General features: G+C 44.7%; 1 protein-coding gene, 1 long non-coding RNA gene and 1 other non-coding gene across 4 annotated transcripts in view, besides 5 other annotated features; 1 reads left to right on the top strand and 2 right to left on the bottom strand.

Moving 5' to 3' along the window:
- Positions 2,214 to 2,307, bottom strand: MIR3678 (microRNA 3678). The gene has a single exon (NR_037449.1). It is a non-coding gene; the product is annotated as a microRNA 3678 (primary transcript).
- Positions 2,461 to 2,640: a silencer, noted in NCBI's record as "silent region_8965". NCBI's record gives its function as "represses an Ori minimal core promoter by ATAC-STARR-seq in GM12878 lymphoblastoid cells {active_cell/tissue: GM12878}" and the evidence as "EXISTENCE:reporter gene assay evidence [ECO:0000049][PMID:35858748]".
- The window catches only part of GRB2 (growth factor receptor bound protein 2), an 87,603-nt gene continuing 63,904 nt past the window's right edge, over positions 2,698 to 26,396 (top strand). For both annotated transcript variants that reach the window (NM_203506.3, NM_002086.5), the window contains exons 1-2: positions 2,698 to 2,887; positions 14,611 to 14,825. In NM_203506.3, the coding sequence (NP_987102.1) occupies positions 14,748 to 14,825 (78 nt within the window). In that variant the 5' untranslated portion in view covers positions 2,698 to 2,887; positions 14,611 to 14,747. The remainder of the gene's footprint in view (positions 2,888 to 14,610; positions 14,826 to 26,396) is intronic.
- On the bottom strand, positions 12,964 to 14,313 carry LOC124904060 (uncharacterized). The gene is made up of 2 exons (XR_007065909.1): positions 13,945 to 14,313; positions 12,964 to 13,561 (listed from the first exon to the last, which is right to left on the bottom strand). It is a non-coding gene; the product is annotated as an uncharacterized LOC124904060 (long non-coding RNA).
- Positions 13,442 to 14,350: an enhancer, noted in NCBI's record as "NANOG-H3K27ac hESC enhancer chr17:73390107-73391015 (GRCh37/hg19 assembly coordinates)". NCBI's record gives its function as "activates a minimal SCP1, AML or CMV promoter by ChIP-STARR-seq in naive H9 embryonic stem cells {active_cell/tissue: H9 hESC(naive)}" and the evidence as "EXISTENCE:reporter gene assay evidence [ECO:0000049][PMID:30033119]".
- Positions 13,442 to 14,392: a biological region, named in NCBI's record as "NANOG-H3K27ac hESC enhancer GRCh37_chr17:73390107-73391015".
- Positions 14,293 to 14,392: an enhancer, noted in NCBI's record as "active region_12762". NCBI's record gives its function as "activates an Ori minimal core promoter by ATAC-STARR-seq in GM12878 lymphoblastoid cells {active_cell/tissue: GM12878}" and the evidence as "EXISTENCE:reporter gene assay evidence [ECO:0000049][PMID:35858748]".
- Positions 23,441 to 23,641: a silencer, noted in NCBI's record as "peak2996 fragment used in MPRA reporter construct". NCBI's record gives its function as "represses an SCP1 promoter by STARR-seq MPRAs in K562 erythroleukemia cells {active_cell/tissue: K562}" and the evidence as "EXISTENCE:reporter gene assay evidence [ECO:0000049][PMID:32103011]".

Raw genomic sequence — 26,396 nt, 5'->3', positions numbered from 1 at the left:
TGGCTCTTCTCTGAGTCTCATATTCTGTATGGTAACCATGCACACTGCATGTCAGTAAATTTGTATGTGCTTTCTCCTGTTAATCTATTGCCAGTTTATTTCAGCAGACTCAAACTGTCAGAGTGGAAGGGAAAAATTCCCTTCACCCTTACAATCATCTCCTCACCTGCCCTTCCCTGTTCTCTGTGCCTGCCCCCTCCAGTCAGCTATGCCTCTTGACTGGCAAATTTCTGTGTTCTCCCTGTTATCCAGGCCCACTCAAAACAAAAAACTGCAATTCTTCCCTCATGTCTTCCTCTCTGCTTAGCAGCTAAGTCCCTCCCTTCCATTTCTATTTTTTTCTGACTGCTATTTTAGAACAAAGTGGCATAGTGCGGGAAAAAAATGAGGATTTTAGAACAAGACAGGCCTTAGTCCAAATCTTAGGTCTACTATATTTTGGCTTCCTTGGGTAAATTACTAACCTCTCTAAGGCTTAGTTTCCAAGTCTGTAAAATGGGGATATTACCCACCCTGTGGAGGCGCTATGACTTAAGTATGCATCAAGTGGTAAATAGAGGGTCCTTTTCTTATTTTCACCTCATATCAGACACCTCCTGCTCAGAAACCTTCAGAGGTTGCCCATCACTTGACTATGACACCTAAGCCATGCATTTTGCATTTTGGCCCCTCTCTCTCATCACTCTTCCCCCCAATTACTGGGGCTTGGACTAATCAAAAACATTGGTTGATGGCCAGGAGTGTTGGCTCACATCTGTAATCCCAGCACTTTGAGAGGCTGAGGCAGGTGGATCACCTGAGGTCAGGAGTTCGAGACCAGCCTGGCCAACATGGCGAAACCCTGTCTCTATTAAAAATACAAAAATTAGCTGGGTGTGGTGGCAGGCTGCTGTAATCTCAGCTACTTGAGAGGCTGAGGTGAGAGAATGCTTGAACCCAGGAGGCGGAAGTTGCAGTGAGCCAAAATCATGCCACTGCACTCCACTCCAGCCTGGGCAACAGTGCAAGTCTCAAAAAAAAAAAAAAAACCAAAAAAACAGGCATGGTGGCTCACGCCTGTAATCCCAGCACTTTGGGAGGCCAAGGTGGGCGGATCACCTGAGGTCAGGAGTTTGAGACCAGCCTGACCAACATGGAGAAACCCCATCTCTACTAGAAATACAAAATTAGCTGGGTGTGGTGGCACATGCCTGTAATCCCAGCTACTCGGGAGGCTGAGGCAGGAGAATCCCTTGAACCCGGGAGGCGGAGCTTGCGGTGAGCCAAGATCGCGCACCATTGCACTCCAGCCTGGGCAACAAGAGCAAAACTCCGTCTCAAAAAAAAAAAAAAAAAAAAAAAACAAAAGGCTGATTCCATTACTCTTTCCTCTTTCCTCCCTGCTTTCACTTTGCCGTTCAAACCAAATCCTTCTTGATTAGCTCAGCACCAAGTACTGGCTCCCTCCTCAGCCATCCCTATGTGTAGTTCAGTGGCACTTGGGGCCAACTGCTTGTCTTACAGATTAGGCAACTCTAGATTACAAAGCACTGAAAGCAGGGGCTTCATCTGGTTGGTCTTTGACCCTGCAGAGCCCCTTGCACACAGGTGATGCTCAATAAATACTTGGTGAAAGCACAATTCATTTTCTGTGTTTCAATGGGCTTCTTTTCTCTATAGAATCAGATGCTTGGTTATTCTCACCTCAGCGCTATTTTGTTGGCTTCCAGAAGGCACAGTAACGCTAGGTGTGTTGTGTTCTATCCTTTAATTGGAAGAGCTTTGGGAACTGAAAAATAAGAATTATTTCTCCAAGCCTCATCTTCTGCCACTCCCCCGTACTCACCGGCCTCATACAGGAATTGAACTACTTAGCACTGCACAGAACACGACTTTCTCTCTCACGCCTCCGTTCCTCTGTACTTAGCCTCTGTACTTACGTGCCATTCCCTTTCCCTGAAATGCCCTTACTCTGGCTTCTCTGCCTGGCAAATTCCTACTCATCCTCCAAGACTCAGATCAGACATCGCCGCATCACATCTGTGAAGGCTCTTCTGCAATGGGCAGTGTAGCAGTACCCCCTCCATTTTTTTAGCTTCCTCAGCAAACTCCAAATAATTATAACAGTACTTATGGCATTATTTGTTTATTTTTCTTCTACTTCCTAGACCGTGAATTCCTTAAGGGCCAAGATTTCTGTTCTATCCCCAGCACAGTGTTCGGCCTATATTGGAGAATCCGGTCCGTACAAACTCTGCAGTGATTCAATCAATGAGCAAACAAACTCACCAATCATTCAACACAGCAGAGTTTGTACGGACCGGATTCTCAAATATTTTAAGACCTGGTCCTCTATTTGGAGTGCTTCATTCTGGAAGATCTCTTCCTCCCCCAAGCCCCTACCCATCCAACTGCCTAGGTTTGGTAGAAGAGGAAAATAAAGTGATTAGACGGGGGAAGAGTCCTTCAGGGCTAAGCTGTCATTTACCCGCTCTGGCACCGAGAGGGTTACGGCGACCCGGGGGCGGAGCCGTGCGGAGGCCACCTGCTGCGGGGAGGTCTGGCGCATGCGCCCTGACACCTAGCTGGTTCCCTACCCGCAGGGGCCCGGCTGAGGAGGAGCGCTTGCGCTCTGGGCCTTTTCCGCCGGGGGAAGTCTCGCGGGGGCGGGGCGGGGCCTCGTGGAGAAGTTCTCGCGGGACACCGACGGGGAGCGGAAGCCAGGAGGTATTGCTGCTTCGGCGACCGGGCGGCGGCAGCGGCGGCGGCGGCTGTGGCAGAGTCTGTGCCTGTGGCGGTGACGGCGGCGGGAGCAAGCGCTGCCCTCGCAGAGCAGCCTTGGGGTCGCCGGCCGCTCGCAGCGTTGTGGAGGGGCGGGCCGGACGCTGAGCGGAGCAGCTGCGCCACGGTGAGTACGGGAGGCTGCGCTCGGCGCCTCTCTCGTGCCTTTTCCTCTTGGCTCTACAGCGGGAGTGGGCCCCGGGGGAACCGGGACCGGCCCCGGGGTTCGCGTCGGGGCGGCGAGGCTTGGGACGTGGAGCGCAATCCCCGGGGCTCCGGACTCTACGTTTCCCCTTTTGGGGCGCTTCCTTCCTGGGGACCGTCCTCCTCCGGCTCTTGGCTCTGGGCAGTCCGGGGGAAGAGGTCGGGGTTCTCTGGCGAGGTCCCCTGCCTTCATCGGGAGGGTTTGCACGGAAGGGGCCCGGGAAGCCCAGGCGGGCCGAACGCCGACCGAGTCAGTCTACCCGAGCCTGGCGGCGGGGGACTGGTGTGGGCTGCAGCTGTGGTGATTGATGTGCCTTCGACCTGCACGGCAACCACGTCACCATCTCCTGGCGTCTTTGGGCTTAATTTTGTGCGGGAATCCACTTTGGGGTGGAACGTTTGCTGCTGGAGCCGGGGGAGATACCTTTATTCTGACACTTAAAAAAAAAAACTATTTGAAAAATATTTGTCAAGAAAAATTCAGCAGTAGCAGGTTGGACTGCACCGAGGAAGGATTGCGGCGAGAGCGGGCGCTGGTAATTTTCATTTGCAGCGCGCCCTCTCTATGATTGTAAGCCACACATGAGTTATGGCTTGTTTAGAAAGTTTTTCAAGGCTGGCTTCAAACGCTGTGAAAGTGCAGTTTGCAGGGGACTGAAGTGCACTTGAGGTCTGTCTCTTTTTGATGCTGTTGACTTTCCGAAATGTCAGACACATGAGAGAAATTAGCATTAGTCTATTTTGGCTTTCTTACTCCTCTTTCTCCAGTTATTTCCTTCCTTCTCTATCTGCTTCTGTCCTTTCCACTAGGGACACGAAATGCTTGTGTAATGCAAGTCATTTGCCCCTTCCTCCCCCCACCCCCCCCTTTTTTTCTAATGTACTTCCCCTTCCTCCTTGTAGTCCCCACTCTGGCGTAATTTTTCGAGGTTTCTTCCCTTTCGTGCTGTTCGTTTTCTCTCATTTCAAGATTCCGTCTTTTTCCTCGGGAAGAGACTCTCTTTCCTTGCTTTCGTTCCTTTACTTTTGCGCGTCCCCTGCGTTCCCTGCAGTCAGCCAGAAGGGTTGCTAGAGAGCCGTGGGAGGCTGAAGTCCCCTCTCTGAGAACGGGGAGGCTCAAAAGATTGAATTCATCCCTAAGAAATCAGTCCTGCCACTAGGTCGCAAGTGTGGTTTGCTTGTATTATTTTTGTCTTTTACTCTTTTTCTTTTAAGATTATGCTTCTGTGCCTGCTTATGTTTTCTTCTAGTATGTCTTTATAATAGGAAGATTGGGTCAGCTCAGTGACTTTTTTTTTTTAGGCAGAGTTTTGCTCTTTTTGCCCAGGCTGGAGTGCAATGGTGCTATATGGGCTCACTGCAACTCTGCCTCCTGGGTTCAAGCGATTCTCCTGCCTCAGCCTCCCGAGTAGCTGGGATCACAGGCGCCCACCACCATGTCCAGCGAATTTTGTATTTTTAGTAGAGATGGGGTTTCACTGTGTTGCCCAGGTTGGTCTTGAACTCTTGACCTCAGGTAATCCACCCGCCTTGGCCTCCCAAAGTGTTGGGATTACAGGCGTGAGCCACCGCGCCCGGCCAGAGTTAATTCTTATAATCAGCTTTCTTCTACTAAACACAAGCATTTATTTATTTATTTTATTTTTTTGAGACGGAGTCTCGCTCTGTCGCCCAGGCTGGAGTGCAGTGGTGCGATCTCGGCTCACTGCAGCTTCCACCTCCTGGGTTTAAGCGATTCTCCTGCCTCGCACTCCCGAGTAGCTGGGATTACAGGTGCTCACCACCACACCTGGCTAATTTTTGTATTTTTGTAAAGACAGAGTTTCACCATGTTGGCCAGGCTGGTCTCGAATTCCTGACCTCAAGTGATCTGCCCATCTCAGCCTTGGGATTACAGACATGAGCCACTGCGCCCGGCCTGAACTCAAACGTTTAAATGTTTGAGGCACTTTACTTCGTCAGCAAGTTATTCAGATTTGAGAGGCTTGCTGGGTTTTAAATACTACTGGTTGATGGTACTTAGAGATTCTTCTCAGTAATTGCTGTTATCATGTTGCATGTTGTCCATCAGAGTTCTAATTGTTACACATACAACAGAAGAGGAATGGATTTTGGAGAAATGAAGTAATACAGAATAGAGAGTCACCATGCCCTCCGGAGAGAAATTAATACTTGCTTAATTCAGAGGAACTCTCCACCATTACTGAATGGCTTTTGAGAGTCTGTATATATATATATATTTATATATATATATATTTTTTTTGGTCAAAGTTGCCTTTTTCCTAGTTGTGCCAAGTGAATACGCATTATTTTCTTTTTCCTTTTTTTTTTTTTTTGAGACAGATTCTCGCTCTTGTTGCCCAGGCTAGAGTGCAGTGGCACGATCTCAGGTCACCACAACTTCCACCTCCTGGGTTCGGGCAATTCTTCTGCCTCAGCCTCGCTAGTAGCTGGGATCACAGGCATGCACCACCACGCCTGGCTAATTGTGTATTTTTAGTAGAGACAGGGTTTCTCCATGTTGGTCAGGCTGGTCTGGAACTCCCGACTTCAGGTGATCCACTCACCTCAGCCTCCCAAAGTGCTGGGATTACAGGCGTGAGCCACCGCGCCCGGCCAATATGCATTATTTTCATTTCATGCAAGGACATTGTAGTGCATTATCTGGAATGCAAATTTTAAAATCTGGTTAAGGCATCCTTATGGTATAGCAGTTATTTAAAATTTAGTATCCATAAAAATCACTGGGAGATCTTTTTAAAATTAGGTTCTGGTAGAACTCCAGGATGTACCCCACAGTGAATCAGTCTCTGAATGGGTGGATTTTGATACAGATGGTCTAAGGATCAAAACTGTTGTTACCAAATGCAGCCATAAATAATAAGACTGCTGTGTGGCTTTAAGTAATTCAACTTAAAATTACATTTTTCTGTGTATACACAAAGTCAGTATTTAGAATAGCCTAATGGAATGAGTGACTATAAGCATGATTCATTTTTACATGTGTAAATTTTTTAGCATTCTTAATACTGTGATGTGGAGTGATTTAACTTGAAATTTATACTTAATAGGGTCATTAATTTGCCTACCAGAGAATTCTTCTGAGTCTGTAGACTCAGACGAAAGATTTTTCAGCTTTACAGTGGTGTGAAAGCAATAGCGCTCAGTAAAAACTATACTTCCAGTACCCATATAACTGTTTTGTTTTTCACTCTCAGTACCATAGTCAGTAAATTACAGGAGATATTCATCACTTTGTTATAAAATGGGCTTTGTGTTAGATGATTTTGCTTAACTGTAGGCTAATGTGTTTGGAGCACATTTAAGGTAAGGTAGGCTAGGCTAAGCTGTGGTGTTTGGTAGGTTAGGTGTATTAAAATGCATTTCCATGTAACAATATTTTCAACTGATGATGGTTTCATCAGGATATCTGCCTATGCAGATGGAAGCTCCACATTTACTCTTAGAACATGTAGGCTAGTATTTGAAAAGAGACTGAAAATACTAGTTAAGGTCTCTGGCTTATACTACATTATAATAATAAAATCATCACAGCCCACACTATAGTGGATAATTAGTTAGCTCAGTCTTTTGGAGAGAGCCAGAGACTTCTGCCAAGCATTTTACAACCATTATCTCTTTTAATTATCAAAATGACTTTATAAGGTAGTTGGCTGTTATTATTCCCATTTTCCAGTTAAGGGATACTAGGGATTACAGAGTATAAGTTACTTCTCCAGTGTCCCCTCATTAGTAAGTGGAAAGTGACATTTGAATCCAAGTCTAACTCCAGAGCGTCAGTAAGCTTTTTGGTTTGTGTTGTAACTACAAAAGTAACACATGCCTATTGTAAAAATAATGAAAATACAATTGAGGTGTATCATGCAGAAAGTAAAAGTGTTCTGTGATCTCGCTAGCAGAGATAACCATTGTTAGCCTTTTTTTTTTTTTTTTTTTTTTGAGACGGAGTCTCGCTCTGTCGCCCAGGCCGGACTGCGGACTGCAGTGGCGCAATCTCGGCTCACTGCAAGCTCCGCTTCCCGGGTTCACGCCATTCTCCTGCCTCAGCCTCCCGAGTAGCTGGGACTACAGGCGCCCGCCACCGCGCCCGGCTAATTTTTTGTATTTTTAGTAGAGACGGGGTTTCACCTTGTTAGCCAGGATGGTCTCGATCTCCTGACCTCGTGATCCACCCGCCTCGGCCTCCCAAAGTGCTGGGATTACAGGCGTGAGCCACTGCGCCCGGCCTAGCCTTTTTTTTTAAGCACATACTGATGTATTATTTTGCCTTACAGAAATAGGATAAACTATAATTTTTCTGCAGCTTTAAAAATTTGAGGAGAATGGCTTGAACCCGGGAGGTGGAGGTTGCTTTGAGCAGAGATCATACCACTGCACTCTAGCCTGGGCGACAGAGCAAGACTCCGTCTCAAAAAAAAAAAAAAATTGATATATCCTGGTATTTATGTAGATACTCCATACACAAGCTCATGGATATTGATCAAGGGTGTGGGTGTATATGTGTATGTTGCACATTGTATTTTGTCTCATTGTTTCAGTGAGATAAATCTGGGAAGTGGAATTGCTTGGTCAAGAGTATGTATTGGTCAGGCACAGTAGCTCACGCCTGTCACCCTGGAACTTTGGGAGGCCGAGGTGGGCGGATCACTTGAGGTTGGAGACCAGCCTGGCCAACATGGTGAAACCTCGTCTTTATTTGAAAATACAAACATTAAAAACACACACAAACACACAAAAAAAGAAAATTCAAAAATTAGGTGGTGGTGACACGCCTGGAATCCCAGCTACTTGGGAGGCTGAGGCAAGGAGAATCGCTTGAACGCAGGAGGTGGAGGTTACAGTGAGATGAGATCACACCACTGCATTCCAGCCTGGGCAACAGAGCGAGACTCTGTCTCAGAAAGAAAAAAGGAGCATGAGGCTGGGTATGGTGGTATGCATGTAATCCCAGCACTTTGGGAGGCCAAGGCTGGTGGATTGCCTGAAGTCAGGAGTTTGAGACCAGCCTGGCCAACCTAGTGAAAGCCCATCTCTACTAACAGTACAAAAATTAGCCAGGCATGGTGGTGCACGCCTATAGTCCCAGTTACTTGGGAGGCTGAGGCAGGGGAATTGCTGGAACTCAGGAGGCGGAGATTGCAGTGAGCTGAGATCGTGCCATTGCACTTCAGCCTGGGTGACAGAGCAAGACTCCATCTCAAAAAAAGGAGTATGTATTTACAAAAATTAGCCAGGTGTGGTGGCACACACCTGTAGTCCCAGCTACTTGGGAAGCTGAGGCGGGAGGATGGCCTGAGCCTGGGAGGTCAAGGCTGCAGTGAGCCAAGATGGCACCCACTGCACTCCAGACTGGGTGACAGAGCAAGACCCTGTCTCAAAAAAAAAAAGAGTATGTATTAATATTTCAAAATTGTCGGTCAGGGCCGGGCACGGTGGCTCATGCCTGTAATCCCAGCACTTTGGGAGGCTGAGGCAGGCGGATCACGAGGTCAGGAGATCGAGACCATCCTGGCTAACATGGTGAAACCATGTCTCTACTAAAAATACAAAAAAATAAGCCGGGTGTGGTGGTGGGCACCTATAGTCCCAGCCACTCGGGAGGCTGAGGCAGGAGAATGGCATGAACCTGGGAGACGGAGCTTGCAGCGAGCCAAGATTGCGTCACTACACCAGCCTGGGCGACAGAGCGAGACTCTGTCTCAAAAAAATAAATAAATAATTGTTGGTCGGGCGCGGTGGCTCACGGCCTGTAATCCCAGCACTTTGGGAGGCCAAGGCGGGTGGATCACGAGGTCAGGAGTTCAAGACCAGCCTGACCAACATGGTGAAACCCTGCCTCTACTAAAAATACAAAAGTTAGTCAGTCGTGGTGGTGGGGGCATGTAATCCCAGCTACTTGGGAGGCTGAGGCAGGAGAATGGCTTGAATCCAGGAGACAGAGGTTGTGGTGAGCCAAGATCGTGCCACTGCATTCCAGCCTGGGTGACAAAGCGAGACTCCATCTCAAAAAAAAAAAAAAAAAAGAAAAGATTGTCAAGGCCAGGTGTGGTGGCTCACCCCTGTAATCCCAGCACTTGGAAAGGCTGAGATGGGGAGGATCACGTGAGTCCAGGAGTTTGAGATCAGCTTGGGCAACATGGTGAGTCCTGGTCACCACACACACACACACACAAAAATTAGCCAGGCATGGTGGTGTGCACCTGTAGTCCCAGCTACTTGGGAGGCTAAGGCAGGAGGATGGCTTGAGCCAAGGAGTTTGAGGCTGAAGTGAACCATGATTGCTCCACTGCACTTCAGCCTGGGCAATAGAGCGAGACTCTGTCTCAAATAATAAAAGTAAATAGGCTGGGCGCAGTGGCTCACGCCTGTAATCCCAGCACTTTGGGAGGGCAAAGTGGGCGGATCACCTGAGGTCGGGAGTTCAAGACCATCCTGGGCAACATGGCGAAATCCTGTCTCTATTAAAAATAGAAAAATCAGCTGGTCATGGTTACAGGCACCTGTAATCCCAGCTACTTGGGAGGCTGAGGCAGGAGAATCGCTTGAACCCAGGAGGTGGAGGTTGCAGTGAGCGGAGATCACGCCACTGCACTCCAGCCTGAGGGATAGAGCAAGACTCTGTCTCCAAAAAATAAATAAAAATAAATAAAAGTTGTCAATAGATTACCAAAGAACTCACCAAAAAGATTGAGCTGAGCTCATTAATTCCTTGCTGTAGTGTGGGTTCTGTGGTGATTTTATTATTATAATGTAACACCAAGCCACATTGTCAGTTAGTAACTTCTCAAAATGTTGAGTCAGTGGACACCGGGTAGGGTAAAAAGTCTTTGTGCCTGGTGCGGTGGCTCATACCTGTAATCCCAGCACTTTGGGAGGCCAAGGCAGGCAGATCTGTTGAGCTTAGGAGTTTGAGACCAGCCTGGGCAGCATAGGGAGACCCCATCTCTACAAAAAAAAATGAGTAGGCTATGGTGGCTGGTGCCTGTAGTCCCCACTAAGGAGGCTGAGGTGAGAGGATCCCTTGAGCCCAGGAGGCGGAGGTTGCAGTAAACCAAGATCACGCCACTGCCCTCCAGCCTTTGCTACAGAGTGAGACCCTTTCTGAAAAATAAATAAATAAATAAAAGTGTGTTTACTCAAAGTATTGCAGATTGGATTTTATAAATATTTTTAAAATTTGCCAATTAGTATATGAAAACTCTGATTGTTTTAATTTGCATTTCTTTTCATATGTTTTAAATAGAGTAACATTTAAAATTTCTTTTGAAGGCTGGGTGCAGTGGCTCATGCCTGTAATCCCAGCACTTTGGGAGGCTGAGGTGGGAGTTTGAGACCAGCCTGGCCAACATGGCGAAACCCCATCTCTACTAAAAATGCAAAAGTTAGCCAGGCTTGGTGGCGCGCACCTGTAGTCCCAGCTACTTGGGAGGTCGAGGCAGGAGAATTGCTTGATCCTAGGAGGCGGAGGTTGCAGTGACCTGAGATCGTGACACTGCAGTCCAGCCTGGGCGACAGAGCTAGATGCTGTCTCAAAAAATAAATAAATAAATAAATAAATAAATAAATAAATAAATTTTGAGTGATTATTACATGTCGGGCTCTATCCAGAGCACTTAATGTATGTTATATATGTTGTCTAATTTAATCCTCAGTGGATCTTATAAGGTAGATATTCTCATTTTACAGATGAGAAAACTGGAGCTTGTTTCACAACTTTGCCCACAACTGTAGCTGTAAGTGTGAGGGGCCTGCCTCTAGAGACCATGAAGATTCAACACTAAGCTATACTGGACTGTTGTCATGTATTTTATTTTCTGTGAATTTTGGGAAGAAGAGAGTTAAATGGAAGAAAGAAAAAAAATCTTGCAAATACCTTTAGGATAGTAGTTTTTTTGGATACAGTAGACATTGTTTGAAATGAATGATTAAAGCTGTACTTACCTTTCTTAAAATTCACTGCTTGGGATGGGCTGGTAACAGTTTCGAGGTTACTCTCATTAGGCTTCAGTGTTAAGTACACTATACCCCATTTTCTTGGGAAGTGAACAGCAACATCTACTCTGTTAAAATCATTATACATTGTGTCTGCTTTCAGATTTCTTCCTTTTAGTAATTAGTGTTGTGTATGTGTTAGATTTTTTTTTGTCTTTACTGAAACACACCCTTTGGAATTCCTTTAGCGAATATGCTCTTTTGGGTGGATAACCTAATAAGCTTTCCTCTTTGAGTTTTCTGTTTTTTTACTCAGCACAGCCATGGAAGTAGGGATTTAATTTTCTGTCAAACTCTGCATCTCACAAAGCAATAGTTACTCAAAACACGACTTTCAAGAAGGTTATTCTTTTTAAGCTTTCAGCAGATGAGCTGAGTAGCAGCAGGAAAGCAGGTATTGAGAACTGTCTTGGTTTTTGTACTGCTGTTGAGTAGTAACATTGCAGCTGTCTTAAATCCTGAATGACACAGAAGCTTATGGCTGGTCGTACTACATAGCACCTTGAAAGTGACAGGGCTTTTCATTTCTATCTGATTTCTGTTTTTCAAAAATAAAACTCCTTATTCTTTTCCTATCATTGTAAATATTCTTCAGCTTCCTATCACTAATACATAGTCTCGGCATTAGAGACCAGTTAAAATAAATAGGCTGAGGAAAATCTTGATAGTAGGAGAGATTTTGGAGCATTCATTAAAAGTAAAAATAGGGCTGGGCGTGGTGGCTCACTCTCCCCTGTATTCCTAGCACTTTGGGAGGCCGAGGCAGGCAGATTGCTTGAGGCCAGGAGTTTGAGACCAGCCTGGGTCTTAAAAGGTAGATATTATTCTCATTTTACAGATGACGAAACTGGAGCTTGTTTGAAAAGTTTGCCCAAAATTGTAGCAGTTAGCGTGAGGGGCCTGCCTCTAGAGACCATGCAAATTCAACACTAAGCTATACTGGACTGGTCTCACATAGTGAGACCCTGTCTCTACAAAAAATAGAAAAAGTAGCCGGGCATAGTGGCCCACACCTGTAGTTCCAGCTACTTGGGAAGCTGAGGCATGAGGATTACTTGAGCCAAGGAGATCAAGGATGCAGTAAGCCATGACCATGCCACTGCACTCGTGCCTGGACAACAGTGCAAGACCCTGTCTCAAAAAAAAAGAGAAAAGAAAAAGTAAAAGTAGATACACAGGGAACTAGGCAAGTAAAAAATAGAACATTAAGCAGTTGCTAATGCTGGGAAAAATCTAAGGATTGTACAAAAAAGTATGATTGGGTCAGGCACAGCGGCCGATGCCTGTAATCCCAGCACTTGGGGAGGCCAAAGTGGGCGGATCACTTGAGGCCAGGAGTTCAAGACCAGCCTGGCCAACATGGTGAAATCCCGTCTCTACTAAAAATATAAAAAGTAGCCAGGCTTGTTGGCACATGCCTGTAGTCCCAGCTACAGGCCGAGGTAGGAGGATCGCTTGAACCTGGGAGGTGGAGGTTGCAATGAGCCGAGATCATGCCACTGCACTCTAGCCTGGGCAATCTTAGAGAACTCTATCTCAAAAAAGAAAAAAAAAAAAACACAAAAAGTATGATTGGTTTTAGTGCATTATTTAAATTATCAGTGAGTAGTATTTCATAACATACTACTGATTAAACCAGAATATGTGATATTACTGGTATAGGTCGGGGGAAACTAAATCTTCACCTTTCAGGCAATAGATAATGGCTGGAATAAACTGAGAAAGCAGTAAAAGCACATTCTTTAGAAATACTCTATCCATTTTGTGCATTGACCACAAGATTTAAAAAAAGAAAAATAAGTAAATACAAAGAGAAAGCAAAAAACAAAATCGAGAGTGATCGCCTGTGGGTGTTGGTAGGGAGCTGCTCTTTTTCATAAGCCTTTTAATACTCTGACTTTTAAAATTATGTACACGGATTAGTTTGATCAAAGTAACTACAGAGAGTGTAAGTGAAGGGCATTTAAGGATACACAAGTATAAATATTCGCAGATCAACCTCTGTATTTTTTAATATTTGCTGGGACTCTTTCTTTACTTTCCCTGTTACAGCCAGCGCCACATGGAATATCTTAGGTATGGCCTGAAGGAATAAACATTGGTTTGGTTTATTAGTTACCTGCAGCAGAATGTTTGGCTTTCAGAATTTGACTGAAGGACTCATTGTCAGACGATTTATTTTCTTTTTGATAATACTTATCTTGGTCTAATCTTAATATTCCCCACTGCTTTACTACTTGGTCCATTTGCAGCTATGCTTGATTAGTGCCCCAATTGTCAACTTTAGAACAAAGGAATAATAATCACTTGTGCCCCTCAAATGAGCTGCTGGGTTGTAATTATCCAAGAAAGGTGTCACTATAAATAATCTGTCCCAGTTCTGTTGTTTTCTGCTTTTGTTTAGCAAGTATGAAAACAGTGACCGAGCTAACCAGAACGGGGCTTTATTTTTATTTAGTTATCCACAGATCTAGGTTGTGTCCTATATTCATGGCTGGAGACGCTTCACTACACCGTTCATTGTACTACTGCCAGTTCCTCATCGTCTGATACAGTATCTCAGGGTTCTCACAGAATCTTTTACCTGCAAAATGCAGTTTGCATCAGTTTTATACTCTGCTTGCTCTAAGAAGCTGTGCACAGGGTGACTGTGAGAGAGACTTCTCTTTGACCTTCTGCGGGCACCATCTCCCTGCACTTTCTTTCCCAAACAAGATACTTGGCAGCTCAGATTCTGAAAAAGGGATTCCTTTCAAGTGTAGATTAGGACTTCAGCTCTGCTCCTTAGGTTAGTTAGAAATAATGTGGAGCTATTTCTGGAGTGCTGAGCCTTGGTCATTTATTTCATTCCTGGTGGGGACCCCAGAGTCTTGGGGATCTGCCGGGGAAAGGGAGCCTTATGCAAGAGCGTCATCCCCACCATTTCCACTGGTACACAGCTTGGAGCTGTGATCTTTCTCTGGTTACCTGAGCTTGCCGATCACAACATGGAAGTGCAGGGGGAAAGCCGCCGGTGCTTGTAGCAGTAAATGGATTGAAAAAGCAGTTCCTACATTTACTTTCTCCTGCTCTCCTGGGAGCAGATCATGGTTTAGTTTCGAGAAGAGTGCAGCAGCTCGAGACCAAAGAGTTTTGCTTTGCTTGCTCTTGACTGTGCAGTAGGGAAGCCAGCATTCTCAGAAGACCAGAAAGGATGGCGGTGGGGAAGGGAGGGAGACAGGCCTGTTTAACCGAGAAGAGACAGGTGCCATCCCCAGGGTGAGGCCTTCCTTTCAGTGGACCGTATTTGGTGCTGGAGAAGAGCCTGTGAGGAGTAAAGGAGGAAAGGCGGAGACTGAGTGGGACTCCAGCCGGTTCCTGCACGCAGTGCACACCCAGCGGGAAGGAAGAGGAAGTGTGTTCAGGAATAGCTCAGGCAGCTGTGCCATTGGCCGGCAGGCCTGTCAGTCGCCTGGGGGCCGAGGCTGAAAAGAGGAAGAAGTCGGCGGGGGGGGGCTGTTGCCTGGAAGGGAGGGAGGAGGGCTGAGCCAGGCCGAGCCAGGGGGCGTGGGGGCTGGGACAGCAGGCCGATTGGCAGGGCGGGGTTGCCTTCAATCCTGGCCACTGCTCTTAATCGTCCCTCTCCTGCTTCAGGGTGGCATTGTGTGTCCCAGAGTGCCGGAGCGAGTCCCAGAAGAGAGGCGAGGCTAAGCCCAGAGCGCTGGGTTGCTTCAGCAGGGAAGACTCCCTTCCCCCTGCTTCAGGCTGCTGAGCACTGAGCAGCGCTCAGAATGGAAGCCATCGCCAAATATGACTTCAAAGCTACTGCAGACGACGAGCTGAGCTTCAAAAGGGGGGACATCCTCAAGGTAAGTGCTGATGCCGAGCACAATGCTGAGATCGCTCTCCCTGTGCTCACCCACCTTCTTTCGCCCTGATTACACACAAAGAAGCTGTGTTTTTCATTGTACACTTTTAACATTTACCATCATATTTGTTCTGGAGAGCTTTAGATGCTGAGTAGAATATTAAATATGACTTAAGTGAGTTGGTGTGATGTGTGGTGTTTAACTGCCTTTGTGTGAATGCCTCATTTGTCTGTTGATACTGGTAATATTTCAAGTAAAGTCAAAGTAATGTGATTGTAGAAAGGAAGTATATGAGTAGATTGATTTGCCCTGTAGAGTTTTATTTTAAAAATAGCATTTTTTAAAAAGACCCAGACCTGAAGTATTTATGTAAAAGCATTCAGTTAGTCTTACTTTGTATAGCCAAAGGATTTTGCGTTCTGGAATATGATTTTGGTAGGTTAGAAATTAATTTTCCCAGTTTAGAGAGGTTGTTAGAAGTACATACCAAAACTCATTAAAGAACTTCAGTGTATTTTTATTCTTTGTGAAAAAACAAATGGAGTTCTAAATAATAAGGTGCAACCTGCTATTGTACAAGTCAGATTTCGACTTTCTTAAAAGAAACTTGAGGAGCAATTACCCCATATTAAACTCTAATTGCACGAAAAGAAACCTGCTGACAGTTTAAAAATCAGCTTCTATACCATGTGCAGCTTATTTTGAGCCCCACTATTTATGTGAGGATTCGCTCTCCCCCAGCACATGTTAATTATGTTGTTTACCCAATTGACTGTAGCAGTTTGCTCTTTTGGATGTGTAATTTATTTTAACGAGGATGAGTGTTATCAAAGAGTATGTTAACTTTAAAGGAGGAAAGGCTGAAGCTTCATGTTTGAGTGTTCCCTGTGTCTCAAGTTTTGACATTTTTCCTTCTGAGCCTTAGACTGATTGTTGGAATTTGCTACCTCATTTGTTTACTACCCCTGAATGAAATTCTTAGAATTTTATGAAGAGAAAGCAAGTGGAGATGTAGAAATATGGTTCTTTATAAAAGGACGTGCAGTCTTTTTACTTTTAAGTTATGTGGACTTATTGATAGTCTTTATTTTGCCCTCATTGCCCAAGGCGTAGAGTTCTACTCTGAAGTTAACTGCCCAGTAATTTCTTAATGTTAGAAATGTAGGTTGAGCCTCATAGAAGATGATGCTGCAGAGCCCTTTAAAGAGAAGAAAACTTTGTGTCTGTGTGTTCATTTCAAAGCTGTGTTTGTGACACCACACTTTTCGAGGGTATTCTCAAAGTCAACACTAAATTGTCAGAAAGCAGACGGAACCATTTTCTAGAAACTAGGTTTCTATTTTCTTGAACTAGAGAAAATATGCCCAGCTAGAGATCAGGGCAAAGTTAACTTAGACTACAAAATTCCTCAGTTTTCATTGGTGTATGGGAGAGGTAATTTGATGTTTCTGTAGGTGATTACTGTTTTCTGTAGATAACCCACTTGTGATGGTATAAGATGGGCTACTCAAATGCCCACATCTATAGCCTGTACAAAAGCCCTTTTGGGCTAGTATTTTTTGTTTTTGATACAAACTTAGATTTTTTCATAAGTTTATCTTAGAAACTTGAACCTAGAAGGCTGGTGGTTCATATTTTTCTCTAAATCTGTCCCATTGCACATTAAGCACTGAAGCAACAAATTAAAACAAAACTAGGGGCATGCGGTCTCTTTTTAAGAATTTTTTTTTTTTTTTTTTTTTTGAGATGGAGTCTCGCTCTGTCACCCAGGCTGGAGTGCGGTGGTACAATCTGGGCTCACCGCAAGCTCCACCTCCCAGGTTCATGCCATTCTCCTGCCTCAGCCTCCCGAGTAGCCGGGACTACAGGCGCCCGCCACCACGCCCGGCTAATTTTTTGAATTTTTAGTGGAGATGGGATTTCACCATGTTAGCCAGGATGATCTCAATCTCCTGACCTCGTGATCTGCCCACCTCGGCCTCCCAAAGTGCTGGGATTACAGGCGTGAGCTACTGCACCCAGCCTTTTTTTAAAATTTTTAAACAAGAACTTTCCCTGATTTCTGTCTTTGAAGTTTGTCCTAGACCTAGACCATGAACATTTTATAAATTCTTTAACTTAAATTAGTAAATTCTGGAGCAAGTGTAAAAACCTTCTTTCCCATCCTATTATTAGGGAAGAAGATCCTGTTTAACAGTCCCTCAGAAATTTTTATTATGGAGGAGAAAGTAAATCAGAATACTCACATTCACTTTTAGATTTTCTTTGAGGAGAGAGAAAAATACATATATGTGGTTCTTTTCAATTTGGTAGATAACTGAGATATGAAGTCATAATGCCATTATTGCTTTTGAACGGTGGCCATTAGCTGTTTGTTGGTAATGTTGTGGCTTTACTCCAAAAGAAAAAAAAAAGAGTGACGATACAGTAGTTGCCCTTTGTCTCATAACTGTGTGAAATGGCTGGGTGAAGAGGAGGAACATGCTTTCTTAAAAGCTGTTAGTTAAAAAAACGGAGTTTTCCTCATTTGATTCTTCAAGAAGTAAACTGGCTTCATTTGAATTGCTTTGATTTGGGACGTCTTGAGGGTATTAGTTGTAAGCCAAAACATGTTTTAAAAGTTGCTGGAATAGCATTGAACAATTTAACTTTCATTGAAATAGGCATATATATGCCTTCTCTTGATAAAGGAGACGTGCATATGGATATTGAATAAGTTTCATTTCAAGATAATGAAATAGGCACTTAGCCTTCATCCTCTGTCTATAGTTCAGAAGGATCACATCTTCTCCTGTCTTGGAGTTCCTGGTTAACTTTTAGTTAAAAATGGTGACTCCTCTCCTCCAGCAGACCCCTTCCCTACTTTCTGTCTACACATTGACCTGTTACTGTCCAGAGAAAAAGAGGAAAAAATAAAAGCATTTTACTGGAAGCCTAAAATAGAGTTGAATGGTTCAATATGTCTGCCTTTGTTTCTCTCTCTTATAAAAGCTTGTGTTTTTCTTGGCTCGGGGAGGGAGAGGACACTGGGATGTAAAATAGAAGGAATTGCCCTTCCACTGCAGGTTTCAGGCCTGGTGTGGTTGGAATACATCAGAATTCCTCCCACCATTGTAGGGCAGGCTTGAGACAGTCCCAGAGGTTCTCCACTGACAAGACCCCTAAATAGTCTACACTAGAGCACATAAAACTTACCTAGGAGTTGCAACTGCCATTTAGGGGCTTATGTATACATACTTCAAACTGTGCTTATAGGAATTAAGAGACCCATTTTGAGCTCTCAGATCTGTGCTCATTCCATTCTAGAGCCAGCCTCTTGCTTTCTTCAGCTCTAGTGGAGAGCCAGCCTGGATCATCTAGGTGTATTCTACCCTCTCTGGCACTAACTACCTTTACCAGTTTCTTAAACTACTTTAAAAACAGGTCTTGAGTTCACATTGAGATCTTCAAAGCATTCTGTCTCAGCACTGCCTGGCCTATTTCAGTGTCACACTGACTGAGCATCTCTTGAGCCAGATACTGGGATAAGTTGCTTTGAGAGTTGGGAGAGAAATATAAGATGTACTTTCTCCCTTCAGAAGCTCCAAAATCTCAAGTAAGAGAATTGAGATTAATATGTGAAACAGTACAAGATGGTATATAAAAATTTTTTTAGAACAGGAAAAGATCTTTTAAAATTTATTTTTATTTATTTTTTTATTTTTTTGAGATGGAGTCTCGCTCTGTCACCCAGGCTGGAGTGCAGTGGCGCGATCTCGGCTCACTGCAAGCTCTGCCTCCCGGGTTCACGCCATTCTCCTGCCTCAGCCTCCCAGTAGCTGGGACTACAGGCACCCACCAGCACGCCCGGCTAATTTTTTGTATTTTTAGTAGAGACGGGGTTTCACCATGTTAGCCAGGATGGTCTCGATCTCCTGACCTGGTGATCCGCCCGTCTCGGCCTCCCAAAGTGCTGGGATTACAGGCGTGAGCCACCGCGCCCGGCAAGATCTTTTAAAATTTCTTAAGTTAGACTTACTCTTTTACAGATGAGGAAATGGTGGCCCATATAGGTTAAATGATCTATCCAAGATCACACAACTATCATTCTTGGTAGTGATTTGTAGTAGTGATTCTTAGTAGTATTTGATGGTATACTTGAGTCGGGTTGCACACTGTAACTGCTAGAGTCGTTCAGGAAGGATGAAACTGGCAAGCGCTGACATCAGTCAGGTGTGTGCAGAGTTGTGACTTGAACCTTGTAGGAGAACAGGACGTGTAGGTTAAGAGAAGGAGGACATTTCAAGGGAGACGAAACTTGTGCTTGTTGTGTTTGAGATAGGAAGGCTGGAATAAGAATCTAGACTGACATAGTGGAAAATAAGGTAGAGTTGGAGCGAGGTGAGAAAAGCCCAGTAAGAGTTTGATCTGGTCCTTAAGAAGCCTCGGAAGGTTTTTAGCGATGAAGAGCATTGTGTGTGTGTGTATAAAGAATTGCAAGGGGGCAAGGCTGGGGCCCCAAGCCTGGATGGTGGCAAGTAATCGGGTTGTGTGTCAAGTGTCTGTATCAACCTGGGATACTAGAAATGAAGGAGGGGAGTGGTTTGAAAGATACTGAAAGCAAGAATCATGGGATTTCTGCCTGTCAGATAGGGGCATTTTAATAAGTCTCCTAAGAAAGGAATGCCCTTTGATTATGATCCTCAATGGAGAAGATCAGTGGAGAGCCAATCCCTAGTTTGGTTGGTTAGAGTTTTCACAAGTTATAAGTCCTGAGTTTCAGTGCACAAGTCCCATTTCAGGGGTTCAAATTACCTAATCTAAATAAAAAGCCAGGCATGCTCGTGCAAGCCTGAAGGCCCCACCTGCTCATGAAGCTGAGAGAGGAAGATTGCTTGAGCCCAGGAGTTGGAGCCCAACCTGGGCAACAAAGCGAGACCCCATCTCCAAATTAAAAAAAAAAAAAAGTGTTTTTCTTCCCCCCCCCCACTATTTTAAAGTCCTAGTATCAGTATACTCTGTAGAACCATTTATTTTTTCCTCCCAAAGTGCTGGGATTACAGGTGTGAGCCATTGCACCCAGCCTTTGCCTTTTGGTAAGAATTCTTATCAATCTTGTTGACTAAACCAGAATATTGCATTTAATCTTTAAGAAGGAGGTTAGTTTGTGGTCAGGCGTGGTGGCTCACGCCTGAATCCCAACACTTTGGGGAGGCCGAGGCGCATGGATCATTTGAGGTCAGGAGTTCGAGACCAGCCTGGCCAACATGGTGAAACCCCATCTCTACTAAAAATACAAAAAACAGCCGGGCCCGGTGGTGCGCGTGCGTACCTGTAATCCCAGCTACTCGGGAGGCTGAGGGAGGAGAATCGCTTGAACCCGGGATGTGGAGGTTCCAGTGAGCCAAGATTGTGCCATTCCACTCCAGCCTGGGCAACCGAGAGAGACTCCATCTCAAAAAAACAAAAACAAAAAAGGAAGGGAGCAGTTTGTTGTTTGAGTGCTCTTAAAGCAAATAATCTGCTTGCTTTTTATTATATTCATTTTGTCAGCTGAATGGACTATTTCCAAATAGGTGCTGAGAATGAACTTTCATTTCCTATAAAAGATTCTTTTTGGGAGACTGGCTGAAGATGATTCTTCCTCCTGTTTGGAGAAAGAAATGAGTAAGGAAATGTAGTATTCCTTCAGAATCTTTCAGTTTCACCTCTAAACCATATGGTAGAATTGCTTCTAAGTTGTTGGGTTTGTTTTTTTGTTTTGTTTTTTTTTTTAGGCGAAGTCTCACTCTGTCGCCCAGGCTGGAGTGCAATCGCACGATCTTGGCTTGCTGCAACCTCCACCTCCTGAGTTCAAGTGATCGTCCTGTCTCAGCCTCCCGAGTAGATGGGATTATAGGCGCCCGCCACCACACCTGGCTAATTTTTTGTATTTTTAATAGAGATGTGGTTTTATCATGTTGGCCAGGCTGGTCTTAAACTCCTGACCTCAAATGATCCACCTGCCTCGGCCTCCCAAAGTGCTGGGATTACAGGTGTGAGCCACCATGCCCAGCCTACTAAATTATAGATCATTTCTAATCTTGAATGCTGAAATATTGACTTTTTTTTTTTTTTTTTAAGACAGAGTCTCCCCCTGTCACCAAGGCTGGAATGCAGAGGTGCCATCATAGCTCACTGCAACCTCTGCCTCCCAGGCTCAAACGATCCTCCCACCTCAGCCTATAGCTGGGACTACAGGCACGTGCTACCACACCCTGCTAATTTTTGTACTTTTAGTAGAGGTGAGTTTCACCATGTTGGCCAGGTTAGTCTCGAACTCCTGGCCTCAAAATATCTACCCACCTTGGCTAGGATTACAGGCTTGAGCCACCGTCCTGGGCAAGATTGGCACTCTTTTTTTTTTTGAGATGGAGTCTCGCTCTGTCCCTCAGGCTGGATGGAGTGCAGTGGTGGGATCTCAGCTCACTGCAAGCTCCGCCTCCTGGGTTCATGCCATTCTCCTACCTCAGCCTCCCGATTAGTTGGGACTACAGGCACCCGCCACCACACCCAGCTAATTTTTGTGTGTGTGTGTTTTTAGTTAGCCAGGATGGTCTCTATCCTCTGACCTCGTGATCTGCCCCTCTCAGCCTCCCAAAGTGCTGGGGTTACAGGCGTGAGCCACCGCGCCTGGCCAAGATCGGCATTCTTAACCCCATTTTATGGGTGCAGAAACAGGCTCAAAGCTTAAGAAACTTGCTCAGATTCACACATCTAGCAAGTGACAGAGGTGAAGTTTGATCTTAGGTCTTGCTGTGGTGTACTGGGTGTACCCATCACAATACATGGATACCCCTCTTAACTGTCCAGGTATGAGTAGACCAGAAATGTTAGGGTATCAGTAGTCTTGCTTTGTTCAGCTGCCTGGCATTGCTTCCATGAGTGATTTATTGGACTTCCTGTCTAGAGTAAGTTTGTCATTTTGTATGTCAGATTACCAAAGATAACAAAGATTGACCCCATCCTTTGCTGGCTACAGTGTGAAGAAATGGTTACCACTTTCCCATGTCTCTGGAGATTTTTACCAATATTGTCTTTCTCACTGGTGGCTTGGTAATAGGTATCAGAACATAAAATGATCCAGCAAGTAACATTTTAAGAATTTGTTCTAAGGCCAAGCGCAGTGGCTCATGCCTATAATCCCAGCACTTTGGGAGGCCAAAGCGGGTAGATCACTTGAGGTCAGAGTTTGCGACCAGCCCGGCCAACATGGTGAAATCCCGTTTCTACTAAAAATACACAAATTAGCTGGGCGTGGTGGTGTGTGCCTCTAGTCCCAGCTACTCAGGAGGCTGAGGCATGAGAATCGCTTGAACTCGGGAGGCAGAGGTTGCAGTGAGCCGAGATCATGCCACTGCACTCCAGCCTGGGCGACAGAGTGAGACTCCGTCTCCAAAAAAAAAAAGAATTTATTCTAAGAAACTCATAAACAAGTTTTTTAAAGATGTAGACATAAGGATGTTTATTTCAATTATGTATATACCACCTAGAAAAATTTTTTTCTGCCAATACTGTCAATTGTAAGATGCATTTTAGAGATGTTAAAACACATAAAAGTGGCATGCACCTTCCAGTTCATGAAATTGCCATACAAGCCAAAAAGCAAAACCAATTAGTGGGGTTTACAGAGGTAGATTATGGCACCTATTAAGTGGCAATGAAGGTGTTAACGTTGATCTGTATCAACACAGAATAATGCCTACACTTGCACAGAGAAACGTTTAAATGGATCCTGTTTTAATAAGTAATAATATAACTAACATATTAAATACTTAGCATGCCTTTGCTCTAAGCTAAGTATTCAACTTCCCTTCTCTTTTAATCTCACGCAAATCTTGTAAAGGCAGATGCTGTTATCCCCATTTTACTGACAAAAAATCTGAGGCTTAATTTGCCCAAATTCACAAGTTAGGATTCAGATCCAATCTGGTTTAGTCCTGATTTTATGTTCTTTTGTTCTTTTCCCTTTTTTTATTTTTATTTTTTATTTTCGAGATGGAGTTTCACTCTTGTTGCTCAGGCTGGAGTGCAATGGCACAATCTCAGCTCACTGCAACCTCCACTTCCGTGGTTCAAGTGATTCTCCTGCCTCAGCCTCCTGAGTAGCTGGGATTACAAGCATCTACCACCATGCCCAGCTAATTTTTGTATTTTTAGTAGAGACAGTGTTTCACCATGTTGGCCGGGCTGGTCTCAAAATCCTGAACGCAGGTAATATGCCTGCCTCAGCCTCCCAAAGTGTTGGGATTATAGAAGTGAGCCACCACGGTCAGCCTTATTTTCATTTTTGAAACAGGGTCTTGCTCTGTCACCCAGGCTGGGATGCGGTGGCATGATCTTGACTCATTGCAACCTTGACCTCTCAGTCTCAAGGAATCCTCCTACTTCAGCCTCCTGAATAGGTGGGACTACAGCTGTGCACTACCACACCTGGATAATTTAAGGGTTTTTTTGTTTGTTTGTTTGTTTGCTTTTTTTTTTTTTTTTTTTTTTTTTTTTTGGTAGAGCCAGGAGGTCTCACTGTTGCCCACGCTGGTCTCGAACTCCTGGGCTCAAGCGATCCGCCTGCCTCCCAAAGTGCTGGGATTACCGACATGAGCTACCGCGCCCGGCCTCTGTAAATAAAGCCTTTCTATACACAAATGAGGTCAAACTAGAGAGAGAGGCCATTTAGGAAAAATTGCTGTCTTTTCCTCTTTTTTTATCATATACATAGATCTCTTTCTGAATGGTCTCCCAAGGAGTAATTGTTGTCTCCAAGTAACTGAATTTCAGGTGACTTTTACTCTTCATACTCTTGAATTAGTTACCATATGTATCAGTTTTATTATTTATTTTATTTTATGTTATGTTATGTTATTTTGAGACAAGAGTCTCTGTTGCCCAGGCTGGAGTACAGTGGTGTGATCTCACCTCACTGCAACCTCCACCTCCCGGGTTCAAGCGATTCTCCTGCCTTAGCCTCTTGAGTAGCTGGGATTATAGGCATGTGCCACCACGCCCGGCTTATTTTTTGTATTTTTAGTAGAGACAGGGTTTCACCATGTCGGCCAGGCTGGTCTCAAACTCCCGACCTCAGGCGATCCACCCGCCTTGGCCTCCCAAAGTGCTGGGATTACAGGGGTGAGCCACCATGCCCAGCTATCAGTTTTATTAAAAGAAAAAAGTTACATTCAGATAGTAAGCAGTTTACATTCTGCATCTAGTTTACCTTGAAGGATATTCTAGGAAGGTGAAGTGCTCTGCTGAGGAGTGGTTTTGTTTCTTAAGCGTTGAGATTTAACCTGATTTTAAATCTTAGGCTGAAGTTCACTGTGACTGTGCTCAGGATCATAAAACTTTGAGACATTTGAAAAACTGACCCAAAATGACTTTTTGAGGAAAACCTTCGTCCTTTTGGCAGCTACTCCCTTAATTTTACCTCCTTCTGGATGTGGAATGAGAGACATCTGAAGTATTGTAAAGAATACTGGCTCTAGGCGAGACCTGCCTGCTTGGAATCCTAGCTCTGTCACAGACAGATCGGGCATTGCGATCTTGGGCAATTTACGGGATGGCTTTGTGTTTTGGTTCTGACATCTGTAAAATGGGAACAATAGTTTCCTACCTTCCTGGGGTCATAGTGAAGACTAAAAGAGCCAATATGTTGGTGTTTTTTGTTGTTGTTGTTTTCTTTTTGGGAAGGAGTCTCGCTCTGTCACCCAGGCTGTAGTGCAGTGTAGTGTAGTGGTGCTGTCTTGGCTGACTGCAACCTCTGCCTCCTGGGTTCAAGCGAATCTTCTGCCTCAGCCTCTTGAGTAGCTGGGACTACAGGAGCGTGCCACCACACCCAGCTAATTTTTGTATTTTTAGTAGAGACGGGCTTTCACCATATTGGCCGGGCTGGTCTCGAACTCCTGACCTTGTGATCCGCCTGCCTCAGCCTCCCAAAATGCTGGGATTACAGGCGTGAGCCACCCGCCCAGCCTATGTTGGTGTTTTTAAAGCAGTAACTAGCATAAAGTAGACAGTAATTGCTAGCTTTTAGTTTTATTAATGCTATTCAGTACACAGCATTGATAAGAGGTGATTAGTCCAGATCCCGGGTTCAGGAAACTATTGAGTCACATGACTCTACGCATAAAAGTGGCCAAAGGTTATCTGCTGTTACCTCAGACTCAGAACTGTTCCAGCCCTGTCCCAGAGCTCAGCTGAAAGCACAGTATTGATGGAGAGTTTTTCTCCATTCTTACACATCTATAGCAAATAGATGGATACCTATGCTGTGTCCTACTGGGGGCCTCTTTTGTAAGTTTCTGTAGTTTACCGAAGCTTTGGGATTGTGCAATTGGCTAACAGTAAGGAATGTTTGAAAAAACAGCCTTGGGAAAAACTCATAGTATTTACTTTAAGGATATTAAGGTCGATTTCAGTATCTCTAACTGCCCTCAGTGAGAAGCCATGGGTAAACATTCTCTCTAGTCTCAATAATGAGAATAGGCGTGTTTTTCCCAAACAACTTTTAAAAATCTTAAGGATGCCGGCTGGGCGCAGTGGCTCACGCCTGTAATCCCAGCACTTTGGGAGGCCGAGGCAGGCGGATCACGAGGTCAGGAGATCGAGACCATCCTGGCTAACATGGTGATAACCCCGTCTCTACTAAAAATACAAAAAATTAGCTGGGCGTGGTGGCAGGCGCCTGTAGTCCCAGCTACTCAGGAGGCTGAGGCAGGAGAATGGCGTGAACCCGGAAGGCTGAGCTTGCAGTGATCCCAGATAGTGCCACCGCACTCTAGCCTGGGCAACAGCACAAGACTCCGTCTAAAATAAATAAATAAATAAATAAAAATCTTAGGATGCCATAGATAATGCTTAGTATTTCCTTCTTTACTAGAAAGTTTAGCCCACCTTGGTCTGGTTTCTAGCAGTAGTTCTTTTACTTTCTGTCCTAACATTTTTATCAAAAGAACTACATATTGAGTATCCCTAATCCAAAGATCTGAAATCTGAAACTTTTTTGAGCGCCAGCATGGCACTCAAAGGAAGTGCCTGTTGGAGCATTTTGGATTTTGAGATTTAGGGATGCTGAACCTATATAAATGCAAATATTCCAAAATCCAGAAACCTTGAAATGCCTCTGGTCGCTTATTCAGTTAAGGGATATACAACCTGTATTAATTATTAGCAGTAACATAGTGAAAGTTTTTTTCTTCGTTTTAACAGTGGCTTTTATTTTCAACTAATTTATTCTTTAGTTTAATAGTGGACTTTTTATTCCTTTTTTTTTGAGACAAGGTCTCGATACATTACCCAGGACTTTTTTTTTTTGGAGACGGAGTCTTGCTCTGTCATCAGGCTGGAGTACAGTGGCGCGATCTCGGCTCACCACAACCTCTGCCTCCCGAGTTCAAGTGATTTTTCTGCCTCAGCCTTCCAAATAGCTGGGACTACAGGCACGTGCCTCCACGCCCAGCTTATTTTTATATTTTTAGTAGAGACGAGGTTTCACCATGTTGGCCAGGGTGATCTCGATCTCTTGACCCTGTGATCCACCCGCCTCAGCCTCCCAAA

This window comes from Homo sapiens, chromosome 17 (assembly GCF_000001405.40).
Source record: "Homo sapiens chromosome 17, GRCh38.p14 Primary Assembly".
NCBI classification, from domain to species: domain Eukaryota; kingdom Metazoa; phylum Chordata; class Mammalia; order Primates; family Hominidae; genus Homo; species Homo sapiens.
The sequence above is the reverse complement of the archived record's forward strand: the minus strand, read 5'-3'. Positions and strand labels throughout refer to the sequence as shown.